At 34.5% G+C, this 23,231-nt stretch overlaps 1 protein-coding gene and 1 long non-coding RNA gene across 7 annotated transcripts in view; one reads left to right on the top strand and one right to left on the bottom strand.

The window, feature by feature from the left end:
- The window catches only part of LOC105373304 (uncharacterized), a 60,450-nt gene extending 48,513 nt beyond the window's left edge, over positions 1-11,937 (top strand). The window contains exons 2-3 of one of the 2 annotated variants that reach the window (XR_938495.3): positions 8,035-8,129; positions 9,607-11,937. This is a non-coding gene — a long non-coding RNA (uncharacterized LOC105373304). Of the gene's footprint in view, positions 1-8,034; positions 8,147-9,606 lie in introns of those variants that run through there. The other variant, XR_007068301.1, reaches the window with a different exon arrangement.
- The window catches only part of NRK (Nik related kinase), a 136,825-nt gene continuing 114,388 nt past the window's right edge, over positions 795-23,231 (bottom strand). For 2 of the 5 annotated variants that reach the window (XM_011530887.4, NM_198465.4), the window contains exons 22-29: positions 21,823-21,966; positions 19,373-19,531; positions 15,364-15,464; positions 13,390-13,533; positions 12,941-13,090; positions 9,671-9,830; positions 6,232-6,371; positions 795-3,900 (exon numbers count right to left, since the gene is read on the bottom strand). In XM_011530887.4, the coding sequence (XP_011529189.1) occupies positions 3,805-3,900; positions 6,232-6,371; positions 9,671-9,830; positions 12,941-13,090; positions 13,390-13,533; positions 15,364-15,464; positions 19,373-19,531; positions 21,823-21,966 (1,094 nt within the window). In that variant the 3' untranslated portion in view covers positions 795-3,804. The remainder of the gene's footprint in view (positions 3,901-6,231; positions 6,372-9,670; positions 9,831-12,940; positions 13,091-13,389; positions 13,534-15,363; positions 15,465-19,372; positions 19,532-21,822; positions 21,967-23,231) is intronic. The other 3 variants (XM_006724632.4, XM_006724633.4, XM_006724634.5) reach the window with 3 other exon arrangements.

The raw sequence follows: 23,231 nt of genomic DNA, 5'->3' as shown, positions 1-23,231 counted from the left end.
TTTATTCCTTCGCTCATAACACTGTCCCCTAAAGTAGCTGAAGTCAGTGTACCCTATAATAAAGTTGAGTAAAACAATTTGATTGTAATGAAACGTTTTGAATTCAGCCCTTAACAACCTGGATAAGCATTATGTGATCCAGGTAGCCCAGCTCCAGAATGCCTGGCCACACATGCCAAATTAGGACAATACCCAACAGGCTCTAATGAGTAAGCCTGATGAACACCTCTCCAAAATGTCCCAAGATGACAGGATGTGCATGGGATTATACTTTTAATACTCCACTGTCAAGACCTGCTGAGGGAAATTCTGTTCTTCTGGTCCTAAAGAAAGGACTAAGCTTCTTTTGAAAACCTGCCATGATTACTCTGTCTTCTGTATTCCGCCATCAGCCTGCACTAAAACCCTTCTTAAATGAAAGATACTCTGTGATAGAGTGCTTCACCTTTCCTCTCCTCTGGACTTGAAAATACTGGGGTGGCATGGGAGGGAAGGCAGCATTGAAACTTGCTTGAGTTTTACCCATACCCTGTGAATCTATGCCTATGTGTAAAGTCCTATATATTTAGAGGAAAATTAATCAGCTTCTAATTTCACTACTGTAGCCAGAAGGTATTTTTAAAATCAGATTAATATATCCCTCTTTGGCCAGAATTCCAAATGCAACAACAAGCTGAACCCCTAACATATTCTAATCAGTTCATTATTATATACTTTAAAGAAATGAATATTATTTGAGTAAGTCCTAATTCCATGGCATTAGATAAGTATATTTCAATAATGACATCAACCGATGTTTTACAAAATTTTATTTTTCAAGGTTGAACAATGATTCATTGTAGGCTTTCAGATGAAACAATTAGCAGTCTTGAAGTACACATTGAATACAAATTAATTTGATTTCAGTAGGCACATTTCTTGGAACAAACTGAAGAGTACTTAAAAGATCCCATTGAATGCATGTGGCATTATTCCTAGTTTACGGATACTGTTTGAACTAAATGAATCTTGGGAGAGGGCAGTTAGTAATTAATGCATTTAGAAACTGATAGCGCTAAAATATTAAAACTTATGCATTCCAATGTTTACATGTGTATGTGTGTGTGCACATGTGATTCTGCTTTGCCTGTTTTACTATCTTAATGATTATCCCTTCTTACTGTTTCCTCTGAGGATCTTATCTCACTTCTACTGACAGTCAGAAATTTTCTTATCAGCCCTTTTATCCATCATTTTCTAGTTTTCAAATATTTCCAATAATGCCTTTTATTTTAGACAAGGGCTTTGTTGAAAAACCTAAATTACACCAAAATAAAACCATACTTTATCCCTAGTGCTGCTCATAACCTGCCAGAACTTTCATGCTTCAAATCACAAGGGCTAGGGAAATTGTCTAGTCAGGAGCCCCCCTCCACACTTCTGTGACGGGCTGGGGCTTCCAGGTACTGCTGCTACAAGGTAATGTATAGATATAATTTCTTCTGTCTCTTACAAAATAAACTGACCATGAAATATCATTGTCCCTTCACTTTCTTGTTTCAGCTGGCAAAGGATGTAAAGATTCCAGATGGATTTACATCTAAGTCAGAAATATTCATTACCTATGAGCCACTTTAAATATTTTCTGTCCTTTCTAAATGATTACCTAACATTTCGATCTCCCTTTTTGACATGTGCCCAGCTTCCTTTCTTTATTAACACTTTATCCTTTAAAGCTCGGTTTATCATTTACAATCTCTCTTACTTGGTTACTTTGGGACATCATTGTAGATTCAGGTCACTTTTGCCTATTTTTACCAGAATAACTGCCACAGAGTGCAATGGGGGTTGACTTCCTAAAATAGTTTACTGTCTTACTGTCTTCAAATATGATTTTAAGATAAAACTTATTTTTAAGCTTAACTTTGAGTAAATATTATGAAGAAAAAATGAATTATTAAAAGACTTGATTCTACACACTACGTATATGAGGAAATTTTCTGAAATTAAAACATAGCAAGCTCCATTTGCTCAGCGATGAGGTACTTGCACAAAGTTCCCCATGGCCTTTTGGTGTACAAATTTATAATAATGAAGACTACTTCTAAGAAAAAAAATTTGACATAAAAGTTTGTTTTTAAAAAAAAAAAACTACTGCATTCAAAAAGTTGTTTGAGTTGTAAACACTCAAGGATAAGCCAGTTTTAGGATCACATTATTGTGTCACAGTAAAAGAAATGTGAGTCACATTTATTTCCTTAATTAATGGATTCAGGCTTTCCTAAATTCTCAATAATGAGCTACACTACATTCTTGATGTAAGTTGTTAGGAAAATCCAAATCTTCATTTCTAGCACTAAGTGTCAAGAAATGTGCTATTATGAAATCACACATAGTCAGCTGCTTTTGTATTTTGGTTAACCAGGTAGTTTGAAAATTATTTTCCCACTAGCACTGTCCTCAGATTTTAGAAGCAGAACTAGAGGAATTATATTGAGGTATACTTTGTGGCAGTTCTGTTGCTTCTCTATTGCCCCAGAATTTACCATGGTATTGAGGATGGATATGCAGAAATTATGCTCTTCATCAGGTAGCAGTTACCATAGGTGACCAAACATCACCTGTCTATGGCGTCTATAACATATTTGGGTGATGGACTAGCATGACTTTCACTACTCTAATTTTGCAGGCTTATATATATGGTGAAAGTTGTATATTTTGTGAAATCTTTTTTTTAACCTTTAACATTAAGTCGTTACACATGAACTTATCACTGAATATGTTTAGATTAATTTCTGATTTTACAAAAAATGAAATCTGAAAAACACAGATATTAGCAAAGTTTTTTCATAGTTATGTTTAATTCTTTTTGTTTAATACTGGAAGGAAGCTTTTGTGTAGTCTAATCTTGGATTGGGCAAATATTTGATGCTGTCTGATAGTCACACTGTTGGCCAGATAATAATTTTGATAAATCAATCTATCTCTGCTTTGGGGAGTAGAATTTGACGCCTACCTTAAGGTATTAAAAAATACTCATTCTACAGTACACGTGTATAGGAGTTCAGTCCTGTATTCAGGCTCACAACTGTATTATTTGGTGGTTTGTAACAACAGCTATTGCACATCTTTTGGGGGTTCTGAGAAAAACCAAGCGTCTGGGGCTTTCTTCCTTTCTTCTTATCAGGAGAAAACCAGCTTAAAAATGGGTGAAAAGAACAAAACTGGTCTTTAACTGTAGGCTTAATTGGCATGAATCAGTGAGAAAACGAGTGGTGGCCTTTTCCCCTTTGTCGCCATAGTTTTCTCTGGGCATGCAGGTTGTTCAACCTTAGTCTGGGTTATAATAATCTTTAAGATTTTTGTTTCTTGACTAAACCTTTGGTTCTTTATATAGCTTTGGAAAAATCACACACAGTTTGCCGATGTTTTTCTTTTTCTGAAAAATCTTATCCCAGTGCCAATTCTTTTGAAGGCTGCTTGTAATCTAATTCATAACAGGTTTCTTTACTCCATGTTGTAAAATCTGAATACAGATACTGTCCAAACTGTCCAAAGAGTAATGTTTGAATTCACAGTAACAAAAGTTACAAAGTTTGTGCAAAAGACATTGTACACCATTGGAGTACCTAGAGCTTGCTATAGTTAATTTTATACATAAAGCTGCATTTCTCATTAAAACTATTCTGTGCTACATTAAAAGTAAAGTTTTGGATTTAATCTTTACTAAAAATAAAACTGAATACTCATTTAATCTCTGAAATCTGAAGATGCAGACTGCCTATACATGATGTTTATAATGTGGTAATAAATCACTGGAAACTTTTAGACATCATAATTGCTTTGGAGCTCTTCAAGTTTTCCAAGTGTCATGAAGTAAACCCGGCTGTGGTGATTGCGCAGGGTAGAGGTAAAGAACAGCTTGAAAAAGAAAGAAATACACTGTCAACAGATATTTAATACATTGCAACCAGATATTTCATATAACTATAATTTTATCTGCATCTGCTAATTAAGATATTAAGCCTTACTGTTTTGTGGAATAGTTTGTTTTTCAAATGAAAGAATGAGTTTACTTTAGTTTGAAGTCTAATTTATACATTTTTAAAACAACCCTTTTACTATAGTCTACATAATTATAATTTATATGGTTAAATAAAATTAGTAATTTCGTAGGTGGCCTTCATTTGCTGAAGTTCTTGATTATTTTTGGGCAATAATTCTTTGCTTTTTAAAACAATAATCTACTTATATTCCAGTTGGCTTTTCTTTTAATATAAGGAAACAAATTATTTAGGTGTTGTTTACCATTGCTGCTTATATTTAAGAAGCCATTGAAATTTTCTACTTGGTACAATTTTCTTTTTTTTTCTTTTCATTATTTTTTAATATTAAAAAATTTAACAGACAGATAATACTGTATGTTTTTATCACAAACAAAATGATGTTTTGAAGTCCATATACACTGTGGAATTGTTAAATCTTGTTAATTAACAAATGTATCACCTCATGTGGTTATCATTTTTATGGTGAGAGCACTTAACATCCACTCATGCAATTTTCTATCTCAGCAAAATGGACATCAATAGATTGATAAAATGAGTTAAACCCAGTGGCTTAGAGAGGGACATGTTGTGTAAATGTGGTCTGTACCATAAAGAAAATTATAACAAAATATGCACATAAATATCAAACAAATGTCTCCTTGTTAGGACTAAGGCTTTTGACATCCACAGTGGCTATATTTAGGAGATTTTGTGACATAATGATGATGATAAGATACACTAGGTGTGACAAAGGGAAGCAGGGAGTCTCTAATTTGTGATACTGTGAGCTTACAGTGTATGTAACTGTACATTTTGCTTGATAAAAGATAATATTTGAAATTATTAAAATTTAAATATTAAAAATATTTAATATTATTAGACAAAGGCAGCAATCATAGTTACTTCGGTTAGTAGTCATCAAGAAAACAAATAATCTTTTAAGAAAAAATTATATGATTATACTGAGTTAAATAAAATTTAAAATGCCCTCGCTTAACTCTTCTAAGATCTGCTTTATACCCAATTAAATAAAAATCTTCATAAACCTTTACAGAGTTTGCTCTATACAGAGGGGGATGCAGGGCTTTAAGTGTATATGAAAACAGCATTTTACATTTCATAGTAAGTATTTTACCTCATAATAAAGAGACAACATTGTAATTTTTTTAAAAGATATGCTAGTCATTCTTGACTTAACATATCTGATGTTACAGGCAATCTGTGAGATGCTTACAGATATGACTAGTTGTCACAATTGTTCCCAAAGCAGTTATTAATATTTCTATTTTGGAGATGAAGGAACTAAGGATCAGAAAGATTAATCAAACTTCTCAGGTTCTCTAACCTGGTTAGTCCTGGTTAGAGCCAGGACTGCATTCTAGGTCTCGCTGACCTGAAACACAGGTTTTTGCCATTTCATCTCTTCACATTGTAAGTTGGCAACTTTGCTTGACATACAGTGCTTTACCCTGGCTGTTCTGATATTAACTCAAACCCTCTGCAATCTCTTCTCAACATGAATGTTTCCTAATCCTATTAGGACTATTTCTTCACACTATTATTTCCTATAATAGGTAGGAATGGTAATAATCTTACACCATGAAATTTTCCATCTAAACTATTTGAATTAGTTGTTAAAATTGATCAAATTATACAAATAATTGCCAGATCTTGATTTTATTTTTATTTTCTGCAAAATAAACATCATAACACCCACTTGTGAAGATCAATTGAGATAGCTGTTAAAGTATCTAGCACAAGGCCTACTATACAATTAAGTGCTCAGTAAACATAAGTACATTTTCCTTCTGTTATTGAATTATGTTGAAAGCTATAAAAGGCAGATTTGCTCAAGCATTTTGTTTAAAAATATCATTTTAATATGAACATGAAAGGTACTATGAATCAAAGACAATAAAGGATTTCGAACCAAATAAAATAATGGCTAAGCTTTGCTTAAGACATAACTAGAATTTTTTCTTATTTTTTTCAAAATGAGCTTCTTTTGAAACCAAATTTCATCACTTACCAAATTAGCGTTTCTACTGCAAAATATAAAATTGTTTTTTAATCAATAGTATGCCAGTTTGAAAAAATATACCACAAATATATTTATAGCCAGAAGGAAAAGGACAGAAATTTCTTTTGTTGGTTCATTTTCAATGGTTGCGTTATTTTTGCTGTAACTGGAGGGTGTAAGCTATACCTTGTCACCCCGGGTGCACAGGAATCTCAGCTTCTTAATTGACCTGCGCTTCAGCTCACTTTCCAGAACCCTGGATTGCAAAGAGCGCACTTCAATGGCCTTTTGGCCCCATCCTGTGGTTCGCTGTGTACATTCAAAAGCTACAATACAAATGAAAAAAAATCAGAAAAACACAAAATCTTTCTGGCCATCATAGAAAATTATAACTACAGTCAATGTTTGTTTATTAAGAGGCTCATTGTTACAGTTCAGGTTAGCACATCCTGTTTTTCCCTCCTGTAGTCAGTTGTTTGGCCATTTTGCTGCTCAAGAGTGGTGTTCAAACTGGCTATCTAAAGGCACCATTGTAATCAACATTTAATTACCAGGTCTCAGTTATTTAATTCTTGTATTCATATCCTCTAAGACCATAGAAAAAGCTAAGAACTAATTCTATCCCATTTGTAGACATTGTGATCTACTCACAGCCACTCTTCATTTTATAGTCTAAGTGACATACAGCATTCCTAATAAGGGCTCCTAATAAGGGTGTATATTTGTGCTCCAGTGACGTACATGAAAACCTGACTCTCAAAAATTAAAATAGTTAAAAAATGACTTGCTCAAATAATGACTGTAGCAACCCTAATGCAATTCAATAAATTATCATGTTGTAAGCAGAACCAAAGCTAATTTGATATTCTTAAGGTTTTTTCCTGCTCAGGAAATATTTATTAAGATTTTAACTTTTTTGACTCTATTTTATAATACTTTGTGACAAATATAGATTATGACAATAATTGCCTTAAACCTAATTGTGTAAACAGTCAGTCAGCTGGTGCTGCAAGGTATTTTTTGACACAAGGAACAGCACTATTATTACATTTTTAACTTTCAATTTAATATTCTTTATGTACTTCATGGGGAAAAATTCCATAAGTAAATAAAATCCTGACATTTAAAATAATATCAAGATTTTAAACTCAAATTAAAATAGTCTAGGAAACAACAAAATAAGGCATCTTCATTCTCATATTAACATGATTAAAATCAGAATTCAATTAATTACTTTGATTTTTCATTTTTTCTATTATAAAAGGAATAAGTTGACTAAGAAAAATGGTTATCCTGGAAGAAGACTTTATAAGTCAAATTTCAGACTAGAATTAAAATAACTCCAGATATAAGGGAAATAAGGAAAATCAGTCTCCAGAGGGTTGGGAACAAGTAACAGATCTAGTCTATCTAGAGTTGAATTTCTTCACCTATGTGACTACTTTATTAAAAATGATATTTTTGTCAACAACAACATAGATCAAAAATTCTAAACTTAAAGCACAGGCTTTTTGCTGAGTCCAAGTACATAGTTCATATGGCATCGCATAATTTCCACCGTAGTCCCAAAACACCTACATCTGCCACTTAACCTAGCTACTGAGCTAGCTTGCTTTCTGAGATGAAACACAATGATTTGGAAGTGGGAACACTTAGTAATACCTGATGCAATTGTTAAGCCTGTACATATTTGTTTGGAAATGGAGAGCAATGATTTGAACACATTTATTATAACTTAAGAAAACATAAAATTTAAATTGGGGAAATCTGGATCTGAATTAGTTTTAAATAACAAAGCAGTTGTTTGTAGACAGAATAATACAGTAATTGATCTCCTTAATATCAGTGTTATATGACAGTCTTTAGCATACTCTCAAAATATCCTTAATATACAAACTAAAGTATCATGTTCTTATAGTACTGTAATTTATTTTACGTGTAGCTGTCTTTCAAATTCTAGCAACTTAAAGTAGCTTTTTTTTGTTTTAGGTCAGAAGTTGTCCTGTCTGAGGACAAGAGCTGCACCAGATGACTTCTCAAGATCCCTTTGACCCTTATGATTGTCTACTGGCATAAATATAAGGGTTTGTTCAGTTTCCTATTTGAACTGAATTTCCTTATAACCATTTCTGATTAGCATATCGATCACAAAAGTACCACTGTAAAGGATAGAACATGAGTCATTATTTTTACTTTCTTTTGCCCCGAATCTGTCAATTATACTGTAAGCATTTATCTTCTGTCACTTAAAGTGGTTTTAAAACCTCTGTGAGTTCTTACTTGTTTGAGGAAATTGGAGCAGGTTTTCAGGACAATCCTTAAACTGACTATATATGAAAAAAAAAAAAAGAAGAAGGATTCTGCAGATGCAATGCAAAGTGCCATCATCCCATATAAAAAATGTTCATTAAAAAGCAGTTCTTTCAAAATGGTCCTTAAAGCCACATGAGGATCATATTTAGTCATTTTATAGAGATCTCAGAAGCATCTGCCTTCTCATTTGACAGACCATCTCTCTCTCTCTCTCTCTCTCTCTGTCTCTATGTTGTCAACAACAACATAGACTAAAAATTCTAAACCTAAAGCAAAGGCTTTTTGCTGAGTCCAAGTACATAGTTCATATGACATCGCATAATTTCCACCTTAGTCCCAAAACACCTACATCTGCCACTTAACCTAGCTACTGAGCTAGCTTGCTTTCTGAGATGGGACACAATGTTTTGGAAATGGGAACACTTAGTAATATCTGATGCAATTGTTAAGTCTCTCTCTCTCTCTCTCCACACACACACACACACACACACACACACACACACACACACACACACACACTGCTGCCTTTTTCCTTTATTTTCTCCATTAAACTTCTCTTTTCTATAATAGCTATCCTCCAGCTAATCATTCTACTCTCTCTAATATATTTACTTTTTGTATGCATTATGTTCCCTATCTAGAATCACGTCTGGGGTCACTGAGCCTCAGAACATATACAAGAATCTCAAATTATTTGGATTTCTCAGATCAGCAGTCCTGCTTTGGCTAGGAAGAAAAAAATATCCTGGTTTGATGAAGGTGAAAAGGCATTTTTCTTTGTTGCCACGTGGTTGGTACCTAACAAGCACTCCAGTCAGTCATATCTGTCACTTTTCTAAATGATTTGATTCTTCACAGGAATATCACTCACAAAATAGAACTCTACTGACTATAAAAAATAGAAGTATTTGGCTCTTTTATACTAGTTGGCAGTCTCCTAAGATAAAGATAAACCCCACAATCAGTGTGATGAAAAGAAGCATTTCCAATATCTGTGTAAAGTCTGCAAGTAAAGGGAGTTAAAACAAAATTATAGATTTTTGTGGAAAGGAATTAGCTCTCATTTCAGTTATACAATATTGCAAATAACTCAGATAACCAAAATGAGTCTCTTTGTGGTACTCTCACGAATTCATTAAGCATAGGACAAATACAGGCATCACCTTACTAAGAGAATAATTATGCAGAACCCCAAACTAATCTTATGTGTCTTAAGAAAATGTAATAATTCAGGAAATCTTTTCTTAGGACACTTTTTTACCCTTGTAAATTTTCTCTGGGGTCCTGAAGAAGAAATAAATTGTATACATACCTATAGAAGATGGTATGTCTTTCCACATTTCAAGGATCTTCTTGAAGAGTTGTTCATTTGCTTCCACAGAGAGGGCTTCAGCATTGAAGGTGAGCATCATGCCAATTCCCAAGCAATCAGGTAAAATGATGATATTCTGTGGTATAATGATTTCCAGGGGCTGGAATTATGTTTCATAAAGATTTATATGTCCAATATTTTATCACTACTACTTTAATCGAAGCAGCTTGGCAGAGCAATAAAGACCAAAAGAGGTTCAAAGAGCAAGGAGGAAGAGAAACCTCTATTTCCAAAGTAATAAGCATGCTATCCAATATTTGAAGAGAGCTGCTTTCTTTATGTCATAAATTCATAACTGTTAAATATTCTTCTTTATAATTAGGAGAAAGCCTTATTTTAAAAAAGCAAAGATGTATTTCCAACACAAAGAGATTTCTTGACATTTCACAAATTATTATGTATCATAATAGAAGAAACACTACTTGTTATAGACTTGGGTTTAAGATAACACATTAATAAATACTTTAGTAATTAATGTACAAATCAAATAACAAATATACAATACTTGCTTATCAGCCAACTCACTCAAATTAGAAATAGAAAACTAATCTAAAAAATAGCTTAAGCTTAAAATGTTTACAAGGGACAGCTTTATAATAGTCTTCACAGCTTGAAATATAACTTTAAGTCATTTCCCCCTTTGCAAAAAAGTTAGAATTTCTTTTCCAATTAATATAATTTCAAATGCACTTAAGATACACATTCAAAGACATATTTGGTGACATAATATGAAAAACTAAGAAATATCTAAGCATTTCTAAATTTCATGATGCATAAAACAATGCAATAAAGTTTTCTTAAACTACAGATATTGTCACATTAACAGTATTTCCCTACAAATGAAAAATTGTGTTCCTCTATGGTTTCTTCAAACTAGCACATTAAAAAAAAAAAAAAGTCAGAAACTATACTTGCCAAACCCAGCGTACTCAGGCCAGGTGCTTGAGGCCATGTCCCAGCAACAACAATCCTTATAACTAAAATGGGGATCCAGAGACGAAAAGCAATTTTAATGCGTTCCCTGGGCACTTGCATGAGCAATTGAATCAGAAAAAAAAGATAAAGGAAGAGAGTAAAAGAAATTGCAGGAAAGAAGGTTGTCTTAATAAAATCTGTTTAGAAAAAAACTGGACTGCTGCAAATCCATACAGCCTCAGATGCTTCTCAGATGATTCCTGAAGTAACTAGATATTCTTTAGCACACATGGTTCCCTTGTATCATTACAGCTTTTGTAATCTAGCACTCTTGGAAAAATAGTATTTTTATTATATTCTTTCTCAGAAGACACCCCCCTCCCTGATATTAGAGTCCTTTCTCTTTAAATGGGTCAAGACACTAGAGTATTTAGCTAAAAATATTTTTGAATATACACAAGGTATCCTAATTGGGTCAGAAAGTGATTTTTAAGAACTCATCTCTAACTAACAAATTGCTTCAAAAGGAAATAACTTTCCTTGCTTATTAATCATGTGAAACACGCGGGTCAACATTCCTGAATTACTTTTCAAATAAGTGTAAACATGGACCAATGCTGCAAAGTTCAATACTGCACTAGCTTCTTAATAAAAGCTATCTGACGCAACATTTAAAAAAAAAAGAGAGATGCAGGAAGCTACGGAAGACACTCCAACTGAAGAGTACAACAATAGCTATATCAAAATTAACTTGACCTCACGTTTAAGTGGCTTTGGCTAAGATTGGTTCAGTATTTTATACATTATCAACAGTGTGATTTCTATATAATCATGGGCAACAACTGAGTAATAAGCTAATTATCTTTAATATGACCAAAAGAGTTTTACAAAATTGTCCCCACTAATGTCCTGACAATTGGTTTATGTAATTTGTTAGAGACATATGAGACAATTCTGAGAGCTGTTCAAAATATCACACAACTGTAGTAATTTGAAAATACATCAAAGTTTTCTCCTGGACTTTTTGTATAATGCTAAACTGCTAAAACTTTGGTTGTCTAAAAATTGGGAATTTAAATATAGTGAAGCAGAGAACTGTTGGTTTAGGCCTTCCTTTTAAATAAAAATTTCAATAGGACAAACATCATTGCCAACATCAAATTTGAGACACAGTAGAATTATATTTTGTATGGTGTGTGTGAGGGATATTACATTATGTTCAAACTCTTTATGTAAATGATGTGTATAATATTTTTATGACAATCTATATTTTAGATGTTGCACCGTATTTCTTTCTTTTTTTTTTTTTTTTTTTTTGAGACGGAGTCTCGCTCTGTCGCCCAGGCTGGAGTGCAGTGGCGGGATCTCGGCTCACTGCAAGCTCCGCCTCCCGGGTTCACGCCATTCTCCTGCCTCAGCCTCCCAAGGAGCTGGGACTACAGGCGCCCGCCACTACGCCCGGCTAATTTTTTGTATTTTTAGTAGAGACGGGGTTTCACCGTTTTAGCCGGGATGGTCTCGATCTCCTGACCTCGTGATCCGCCCGCCTCGGCCTCCCAAAGTGCTGGGATTACAGGCGTGTTGCACCGTATTTCACAAAATATAAGCATTTAAGAGTTGAGGAGTATCTGCTTTTAAAATGCTGAATCTTTTGATCAGAAATTCTAACTATAATTAACCAGATAAGAGAACATTTTATGATAATTTGCTGTTATGTCACTGTTGAGGTAATATAATAAAGAATAGGAATACACATAATAATGCTGCAATACTGGTGTTGTATTTTTTAAAAATTTGTTAATGCATTGTGAAGTGCAGAAAAACTAAAGCAAGTACTGCAAAATCAAATACACTTTATGGTCAGTTATTATAAATATATAAACATAAATGGGTAGAGAATGTAGAGCACATATCCCATCTAAAAGGAGCTATGAATGAATACATTCCAATTGATAATGGCTAGATAGTAATGTGGCACTGATGCTATCTGGTCTTCTGATGTAGCAATAGAAGTCCAGAGTTTAAGTGTAAACTTTATTCATTAAAAATAAAAAAAAATTAGGCAAGACAAGCAAAATCTATCTGCAGAATATACTCAGCTTTCTAAACTAAGGAATCATCAGTGTTTTTTGTTTATGCAAGACCACTTTCTGGCACTCTATACTTACCTTTTATGTCTCAGTTCCGGTATAGACATTACTAATCATATTTTTAAACCTTTCAGAGTTTTGACAGTTGGAAAAACTCAAATGGTGGTATACAATAATTTCTAGGAATCTGAAGGTGTTATCTTACATTCTTTGGCAGGGTCACATCAGACATAACCTCAGATTCTGCATCGATGAGGTGATATCCATCTGCTGAGCTGAAGAAAATCTTTAGTCTTTTTTCAGAACCAATAGCCAGGTCAACTGTCACTGGCTTATGATCAAGTGTTGGAAATACCTGTGAATATAAAACCAAATATGGCCAAAAGGCCAAAAATGACATTCTAACTAAGGCAAAAATTCCCTCACTCTTTTGTCAGGTTTATAAGTGTACAAAACCCAGGTGGATTTTTAAAATGGCATATTGTATTTAGAGACCTGTGTATTACAGTTTTTCTTAGACCTGTTATTACAACAAAGAAATAATTATGTTCAATAGCTTCAAAATATTGAGTTTCTCTTCAAAGGTCAGATTGGCAATGATCATAAGAGCCTTGTATGACCCTGCATTCTGTTTGCTGTCTTCAAGTTCCTTGCCTTGAGCTTCAGCAAATGAAGGAGCTCATCTGGTCTCTTAAACCGGTTCACTGGATCAGCTGCCTGTATTTTTGCCAGTATTCGTATATAGGCTTGATAGGACATGTAGTCTCCTTCAGAGTCTGCTGATTGATCAATGCATACTTGGTAGGGAATGAAAAGGGCCAGACATGTTAACCTACCATATACTGGGTATGTACTCTAGGCTCCTATGGTTTCTAGTCCAAAACAAAAGGCCAAACAGGATTCATTGCCAAGATCAGATCACGGTAGAGGACTGAGCATCACAGGATTCAACATACTGTAGTTGTGAGGTGGGAGTCAAGAACTGCAGTGAGGACTTGGACAAGAACTGTGTATCAGGCTAGACAGACTGTTGGTACTTATTTCTTCGCTTTCCAGCTCCATACCAGGCAGCTCTGACCAATCAGCAGACACCCAAGAATAAACCCATATCCAAATACTGACAGCTGAACCAAGGCCCAATTTAGGGAGATCAGATCAGGGATGTGACGTGATTTGTCTTAGGGTTGACTCAGACTGTATATACAGTCATCTGTATAATTTATAGAAGAACATAGTTATTATGCAAATAGACATTGGCAGGTAGTCATAAGAATTTGCTCATCTTTATTGTATACATGTGATGTGTTCCCTTACAAAATATACCATGTAAACAGATCCTGACTTAAGATACAAAAGTATTTCATGAATACCTTGCTGCGTCTGTCAGGATGGGTCCCTATCAGTGCTTTGTTAAAACCTGTCTATGGATCAACTAGTTAAAAATCACCTGGAACATCTGCTAAAAATATCAATTCCCAGACCCTACTCCAGACCCACTAATTCAGCCTGGTGTTGGGTCTGAGATCTAAACCTTTACCAAATGTTCCAGCTAATTCTGATATACATCCTAGGTTAGAAGCTACTGGACATGATAGAATGCTGCCAGTTCTTTAGTCAACCCTCATTACTATGGAATAAATACAAAATAATTCCATTTAAGTAGAATTCTGGAGCATTATAAGTAAGTTACTCTAGATAAAAACAGTCCCTCATTTTAAGGTTAGTTGTTTAAGACACTCAATTGTTTATTTATGTGGCCTATCCATAGAAGTTCAGCCAAACTGTAATAAAGTTAGAAAGAGTACTGGTAAGCCTAACCACCATGTCTCACAATATTAATAGATAGAGAGAGAAATGTGTTTAGAGTTCCAGCTTGGAAAGAATATAGACTCATCCAACCCCTTCCCATACCCACATATTGTGGCCATGGTAACTGGAGCAAAGGCTTTCTTTTCCCTCCTTTTTCCTCCAAGGGTGTTCCCCCTCTATCATTACCATACCTTTCTTTACCTTCCCTCTGCTCTCTATCCCCCACTAAGAGAAAACAGGGACTTTCTCAGCTTCAATTTATTGGGGTGGCACCCAAAGCCTGTGTTTGAGGCTCTGAAAGAGAAGGTCTTCATATTGACTACAGGAATTGGGAGTGAGGCGCTGGTGGGGAGGTCCTATAAGGGGAGGGGCCAGGGATTTCCCTCGCATTCTCCCTTGCTGTGATGCCTGTGAATTGTCTAAAAAAGGGTTAAACAGTAATTACTGACATGGTATATTCAAGTTACATTAGTGAGACCCCATCTCTACAAAATATTAAAAAATTAACCAGGTGTGATGTATGCCTGTAGTCCTAGCTACTTGGGAGGCTGAGGTGGGAGGATGGCTTGAGCCCAGGAGATCAAGGTTGCAGTGAGCTATGATCATGCCACTGCACTCTAGCCTGGGCCAGAGTGAGAGAGTGAGACCCTGTATCTAAAAAATAAACAAACAAACAAGCAAGCAAACTAACAACAAAATTTCATTAACTATAGAAGAATGGTATATACTTCTGCATCTGTATTCCAAGGTACGATTCTGTTCACAATTTCTTCTCAAAATAAAAAATCATATAATCCAAAGAAAAAGGAGCTCACTCACTTTAATAGCAGTGCTTTCATCAAAGGACTTTGGTGCCCATGCATAAAGGTGAATTGATGATTTCAAAGCAATTGCAATATATGTTGTTTCTTCATGTTGGACTATAATGATAAAACACAAAAAAGTAACGATGCCACAGTTAACAAGAACACTCAAGTATTTGTATTTGTCATAAAAAATGCCATAACCACAATTTAAGAGCACAGACAGTATATTTTTGGGGAAGCTACTTGGTTACAATTTGATGCCCACAAAAAGGTAACAAAATTACTGTATAGTTTTATGGAGTATACATATTCGCCTTCAAGAGCACTCTAAATTGTACACCAAAACATTGATGAAAGAAATTAAAGAAGACCCAAATAAATGGAAAAAGTTTTCCTGTTCATAGATAGGTAGATTTAACATTGTTGAAATAGCAATACGGTCCAAAATTGTCTCCATAGATTCAATGCAATCCCTATTAAAATCCCAATGGCCTTTTATTGAAGAAATGGAAAAGTTGATCCTATATTTCACGTGGAATCTTAAGAAGCTCCTAATAGCCAAACAATGTTGAAAAAGAAAATCTAAGTTGGAGAACTCACACTTTCCAATTTCAAAGCTTACTGCAAGTTACAGTAATCAAAGCAGTATGGTACTAAATAACATAAGGAGAGACATATAGATCAATGGAATAAAATTGGGAGTTGGCAAATAAACCCATACATCTATGGTCAATGGTGTTATACCATTCAATAGGGAAAAAACAGTCTTTTCAACAAATGGTGCTGGGACAAGCGGATATACCTATGCAAAACAATAAGGTTGGAGTCCAAATTTCACACCATATACAAAATTAACTCAAAATTGATCAAACACCTAAATGTAATAGCTAAAACAATAAAATTCTTGGAAGTAAACATAGGGATAAATCTTGATGACCTTGAATATAGCAATGAATTCTGATATTTGACACCCAAATATAAGGCAAGAAAAGGAAAAAAAAGATAAATTAGGCTTCATCAAAAATTAAAAATTTGGGGCACCAAGGGAAACTATCAAGGAAGTGAAAATACAACATACAGAATAGGAGAAAATATTTGCAAATCATATTCTGATGAGAGTCTAGTATATGGGCCGGGCACAGTGGCTCACGCCTGCAATCCCAGTACTTTGGGAGGCCAGGGTGGGTGGATCACTTGAGGTCAGGAGTTCGATACCAGCCTGGCCAACATGGTGAAACCCCATCTCTACTAAAAAAAAAAATATAAAAAATAGCTGGGTGTGGTGGCAAGCACATGTAATCTCAGCTACTCGGGAGGCTGAGGCAGGAGAATATCTTGAACCTGGGAGGTGGAGGTTGCAGTGATCTGAGATCACTCCACTGCACTCCAGCCTGAGCAACAGAGCGAGACTCTGCCTCAAAAGAAAAAAAGACTCTAGTATATGGAATACTTAAAGAATGTTTACAATTCAACAGCAAAAGGATAAGCAAACCAATTAAAAAACAGGCAAAGGACTTGAATAGACATGTCTCCAAATGGTCAGTAAACATATGAAAAGATACTCAACAACATTAATCATGAGGGAACTGCAAATTGAAACTTTTATGACATCCCACTTTACACCCATGGGGATGGCTAGAATAAAAAAACAGATATTTACAAGTGCTCACAAGGATATAGAGAATATAGAACTCTCATACTTTACAGATAGCAATGTGAAACGGTGCAACCACTTTGAAAAACAGTGTAACGATACTATCCAAGAGAAAAAAACCATACATATCCACATATGAAGATGTATGAAATGTTTGTAGTAGCATTATTTTTAATAGCCAAAAAGTGGGAAGAGTGCAAATGTCCATCAACTGATGTATGGATAAACAAAATGTGGTATATCCATACAATGCAATACTACTCAGCAATAAAAAGGAATTGCTGATACATGTTATATATAACATAGACAAACCTTGAAAATATTATGCTAAGTAAAAGTCCGTCATAAAACACAACATAATATATGGTTCCATTTATAGTAATAGTCCAGAAGAGGCAAATCAATAGAGAAAGAAAGTCCTAGGTAACCATTTATCAGTTTATCAATGGATACCTAGGACTGTGAGTGGTAGAGGGGGAAGTAAAGAAGGATGGAATGGGGGTAACTGTTAATGAATATGGGGTTTCTTTTGGGGATGATAAAAATTAGATCATGGCGATTGTCACATAACTCTATAGACCTCCTAAAACCCATTGAATTGTGCACTTTAAACAAGTGTATTTCATGGTATGTACATTATTTCAATAGGGTTATTTTAAAAGGTAAATTAAAAAGTATAAATAGGTATATGCTTGCTCTTGATTAGCCCTTCTGGTTCTTATGGAATATGTTGTCTTACCCGATAGATTTATACTTTGTGCTATAAAGCCCTTTCTTGGCTGCAATTTCTTCTGCCATCCCTACGCATTCTCTCTCTCTCTCTCTCTCTCTCTCTCTCTCTCTCTTTCTGTCTCTCTCTGGGTCTAGCTTACTCTTGCATTTTCTTTTGCATTGCTCCCAAGTAGGTCAAAGGAGCATGATTACTAATCCTCCAATAATAAAAAATATTCTCTCTTAAGAAAACACTTCCTATATATTTAATATAGGGTAGTAATTGGTGACAGTTCACTGTCTTGTGGATCTTGGAAGGCTATGAAAATACCAGGCAAGTATGATTTGTTCTTGTCTTCCTATGTGAAGATGCTACTAATTCCACCTGTCAGTGGGACAAATGCTTTTTGCTGTTCTGAGAGCTTAGGTGGACTGGAATGGGGTCAGCCAGGAAAACTAAACTTAACTAGTCCACCCCTCACAAAGAGCACAGATTTGCAATATGAGTAACTTTGTGACTATCTCTTACTGAACTAATATTTTACAAGTTAGGAGGAGGTAGTTTTGCTATATAAACTCCTGAGTTAACATCTGGGGATATCTTTCACCTGTAGGACTATCACATTTGCATAATATGATTTGGAGGGAAGTAGTGATACCTAAACCTGGAAGAAACTAGTGTATTTATTTAATGCTTAAATTATCTGGGTACTCATTTCCCTCTTTAGTGGTGTATGTGTACATATGCACACACATACAAAAACCTACCCTGAGAAAGTCACTTTATATGCAGAACAATAATGGTCAGTCAGGACAGAAATATCCCATTGCAATTTATATAATGTGATTCCAGCTATTTCTCACCTATGCCACCAGTTCTGCCTGAAGAGGCAATTAATGAAGAGGGAAAGAAGCAAAAGAAGGCTGAGAGTACAGGGGGATTTGCTTCAGAAATAGAACAGAATGGGATGACATTAGCTCACGGTTTTTTATAGCTGAGAGCAGGATTCTGAACCCCTAGGGTTGTTACATCCTTTCACAGTGGATGGTTGTGAAGATACAGGGTATATGAAAACATTCTAATCAGATGGAAAACAATTAGTGATTATATTCATTAATATCAACAGTGGGAGTGAGAGCCAGCAGATCACAGAATTTTCTTTCTGACTCATCATTAAGTTTCCTGGACAGTATTAGGAGGGATTCAATCTTACTGTTGCTCCAAAGAAAGAGAATATCATATGCATCTCCCCAAGTTTGTGAAGATAAATCAAGACCATTTATATAGCTGAAGCTATATAAAGGCAGGAAAAAAAAATCGGTTTATCTGGAATATTCGGGGTGACTGGGAAAGAAAGTAAGGTGAGGAGGTAAACCAAACCTAACATCAATAACTATTTTAGTCAGTCAATGTTTTCTCAAAAAAAAAAATCAAGATTGTAACATAGAAGACCTGGAAGATGTGTCAGTGAAATTTACTCTTCTTTGATTTGAAGTTGCTGTCTATAGCCATACCACCCTGAACGTCCCTGATCTCGTCTGTATTTGAAACTGCAAATTGTTTCCTTTCTCTGCTTTGCCTTTCATAATTATGTAGTTCACCAAATGAAAGGATGCAAAATTTATATAGCTGTAGTAAACATGAAATGTGGCTTACGGACACTGAAGTGTTCACAGCCTGTTAACTTATCAATAGCTTTGCAGGCTTCCTCTGTCTTCAGCATTTCTTCTTGCCTTCTTTTACTTTCTGGATCATTATTCAAAATCTTGTTCCTCAACCAGGTCAGATGATACACCCGAAGTCTGTTCTTATGACCTGATAGATAAGAAAATATACAGTATTTAAAATCAGTCTTTCTTTTCATATATTAGAAGAAAAAAAAGTAAAGATATTTTGCCTTTTAAAAATATCTTTATTAACGTAAAAAGCACCTTAAAAAAAACTGCATTGCATCAGAATCTCCCATTCAGGATTTGGAAATATGACAGATTATTTTAGTCTCTCAATTCCAAGAGATAGTCAAAGTATCTACCTATGTGCCTCTCAGAAGGGGATCTAAACTTTTTTTGGGACAAGTTAAGCCTTCCACTATGCAGGCAAGATAATTACCATCCATTCATTTGTACCTTGGCTATTCATGAAGTCATAACTCCTCTGGAGTTCAGAGACCTAAAAGCTGTCCCTGGTAGTGTGTGTGTACGAGAGGGGTGGCTGAATATTGACTGTTAAGGTATTCAGGGACAGCAATATGGGTATCTTTGTGTTCTGTCATTCCAGCATGCTTGTAAAATAGTTGAACAGTTTCATTATATTTTCCTCCAACTAAATTTATCGTTAATATTAATTTCCTAATTGTAAATTTCATCAAATTCTTACAATTCAGTCAGGAAACACAGGCCATGAAAAAATCACACATTTCTTTTCCCCTATATAGTGACTTTATAATCATTTTTCTTTGTCATTTTTATGGTTTATTATTACATGATTTCTAGGCCCAACAATAGGATTCTTACTTATGTGATTAGTCTTTCATATGTTTTTACACAACATTTTTGAAGCAGTGTTAGGGTTCAGATATCTACATCTATGTGATATGGTCTCGAATTTTAATCCAAATAGTAATCCCCATGTGTTGAGTGAGGGACCCAGTGGGAGGTAATTGAACCATGGGGCAGTTACTTTCATGCTTTTCTCATGATATTGAGTTCTCATATGATCTGATGGTTTTATAAGGGGCTTCTCCCCCCTTCGCTCTGCACTTCTCCTTGCTGCTGCCATGTGAAGAAGGACATGTTTGCTTTCCCTTCTGCCATGATTGTAAGTTTCTTGAAGCCTCCCCAGCCATGTGGAACTGTGAGTCAATTAAACCCCTTTCCTTTATAAATTACTCAGTCTCAGGTATGTCCTTATAGCAGCATGAGAATGGACTAAAACACTACCGCTATTCTATTTCTTAAATGGTAAAATAAATTTGTGCTTTAAACTACTGAGTACCTTCTTATACTGATGTTCTCAGTACTGTTTGATGGAAAAATATTCCACATTTGAGAGAAGCTCAAGAACTAGAGAAGAACATATTTGGGTTAGAGGAAGTTGGATAAAAAGTAAAGAAATCTGTTATACAGATATGTAGTCTATAAGCCACCCAGATGTTTTCAAAAAATAAATATTACTTCTACGTACCTTAAACAATTATAAGCAACTAACTATAAAACATGATTTAAAAAATCATGAAGTCTGAGCATACCTCTAAAGGGATTTCTCCTCTAACCAAAATGTAAAGCAAAGTTAATCATTTTAGGAATAACACAAAATCATTAGTGTGCAACATGGCAATTTGTGCACTAATTATATATAAAGCATGTTATATATAATAAAATACATAAACTCATATAAGTGTCTGTGATTAGCATCATTTTATTCACATAGACAAACCATATTTTCTTACTTTTTCTCTCTTTTGTCAGTCATCTTTTGCCTATAGTCAGCTTTAATGTTGGTGCTTTCCTGATACTAAATGCTGTTTAGTAATCACGATCACTCTTAACACTCATTTACTTGCTTTCTTGTATTCTAAGTTTCAGGCTCTGACTGACCAAAACTAAGAAATTTAACTACTATTTGGAAAAGGTGTAAAGATCTTTAGGGGATCCATTCTTGTTACAAACTCTACCTGTAGGCCCTTGTGATAAGGCTATATACTAAGGACAACTCTCTTTTGTATCTGATTATTGTTCACTTTGTTCTTTGTTGCTTCTAACACCTCACAAGAACGGGACATGGTGGATGTTGATGCAGTCCTGTGCATGAATGGATGAAAATTAGAAATCTGAAGTTGTAGGAGGCTGCACTGGAGAGAACATGCAAGGATGCAAATGTTGTGGTTTTTCTTATCAGTAACCTAGGTTAGGTACTTTACAATAAAAGGAAGTTACTTTAAATTGTAAATAGATAAGATAATATAAGTAGGAAAGTCTGGTGTCCCAATTAAAGGTTATATTTAAAGTGCTCTTCTAGGAACACTTTAACCTGAGAAAGTCTTTAACCCAGTTTGCAGACTAATTAATCTGCATAATTACTCAGCTAATTTTAGTTCTTAAACAAACCTGAGATGGTAATCAGCAAATTGAGTGGCTCTAAGACTTGAATCTGGCGGAATGGTCTTCGCCTTATAAGTTTAGTAATGTCAGCCTTTCCACTTCTGTCCATCAGATATAGATTAGATCGGGTTCCCAACAGCAAATTGACTCCTGTTCATATATAAAAAGTGCTATATTAGCTCAGATTATTTTTCATAATTGCATCTATATTACTATTTTTGCTATTCCAGTATGCTGATCTATGTAAAGATGACTTATCAGTTTAGGCTATATTCACCTCATATTATTTTTCATAATTGCATCTATATTACTATTTTTGCTATTCCAGTATGCTGATCTATGTAAAGATGACTTATCAGTTTAGGCTATATTCACCTCATACTGTGTAACTATGTACTCTCTACCAACAGAACAAATTTCAATGAAATACATAAAAATATAGAACATAATTCCCTCTGGCAGTATTCCACTGGCTGGCATCTGGTATGCCATCTCACAAATGGAAATTTATGGATATATTAGCACCCTTTAGTAGTGTTCTGAACTTTATCAAAATCAATCAACCTTTTTGAAAATTATCATTAAACATTCTTAGTCTAGCACATACAAAGAGTTCAATTCAGCTCATTTCTCATCTCTAAACATAAGTAAATGTTTGAATGATTTTAAAATAATTATATGTAAATAATTGTTTTTAAATTGAATGATTCTATGTTCATGCATATATTAAAAATTTACCGTTGCCAAATGCCTATGAAATTAGTTCCTGCCTTCATGGATCTCAATTTCTACACTCTCTTTTATTTGTTGACTGGCTCTATTTGTTCAAATATAAGCACTGTTTAAAGACCAAATAAGAGGACTGAAATAGAAGACAGAACCAAAGTTAAATTACACTTCAAACTACTATGGGAGCTTTTCACCATAAAGTGACATAGGAAATAACCAGCCAAGTAATGTAACAAGATAAAATTTCACAGTCCTCCTTGCACTTGGAGCATACCTGTGCTCCATGAGCATAAGGAGAAAACTTAAGTGATTTTGCCTTCATTTTCTCACTCTGTCTTTAATCAGTTCTCTAACTCATGGCCAATGGCATGTTTAGGAGCTGCATCTTCTTCTCACAGGGGAATCAGAGAAGGAGGAAGAAGTATAGCCAATTTTTACTATAATCTTTTATTTTTCAAAATATAAAATTACACGTTATAAGAATGGATTATTAGACATTAACTACATTTCTAGGTAGTTGCCAGACTGAAATATTCATGCTATCTTGTTGTTTGACACACTAAATTAGCAGAACTTTGAGATGATTTTTAAAAATTCTTTAATCCACATAATTACAATGTTTGTTACCCTTTTCTATTTTTAATTTAAAACCCTGTCCTTTGTTCAATCATACATTAAGCAAAATC

Source organism: Homo sapiens, chromosome X (assembly GCF_000001405.40).
Source record: "Homo sapiens chromosome X, GRCh38.p14 Primary Assembly".
NCBI classification, from domain to species: domain Eukaryota; kingdom Metazoa; phylum Chordata; class Mammalia; order Primates; family Hominidae; genus Homo; species Homo sapiens.
This window is presented reverse-complemented; position numbering and strand designations above follow the sequence as displayed.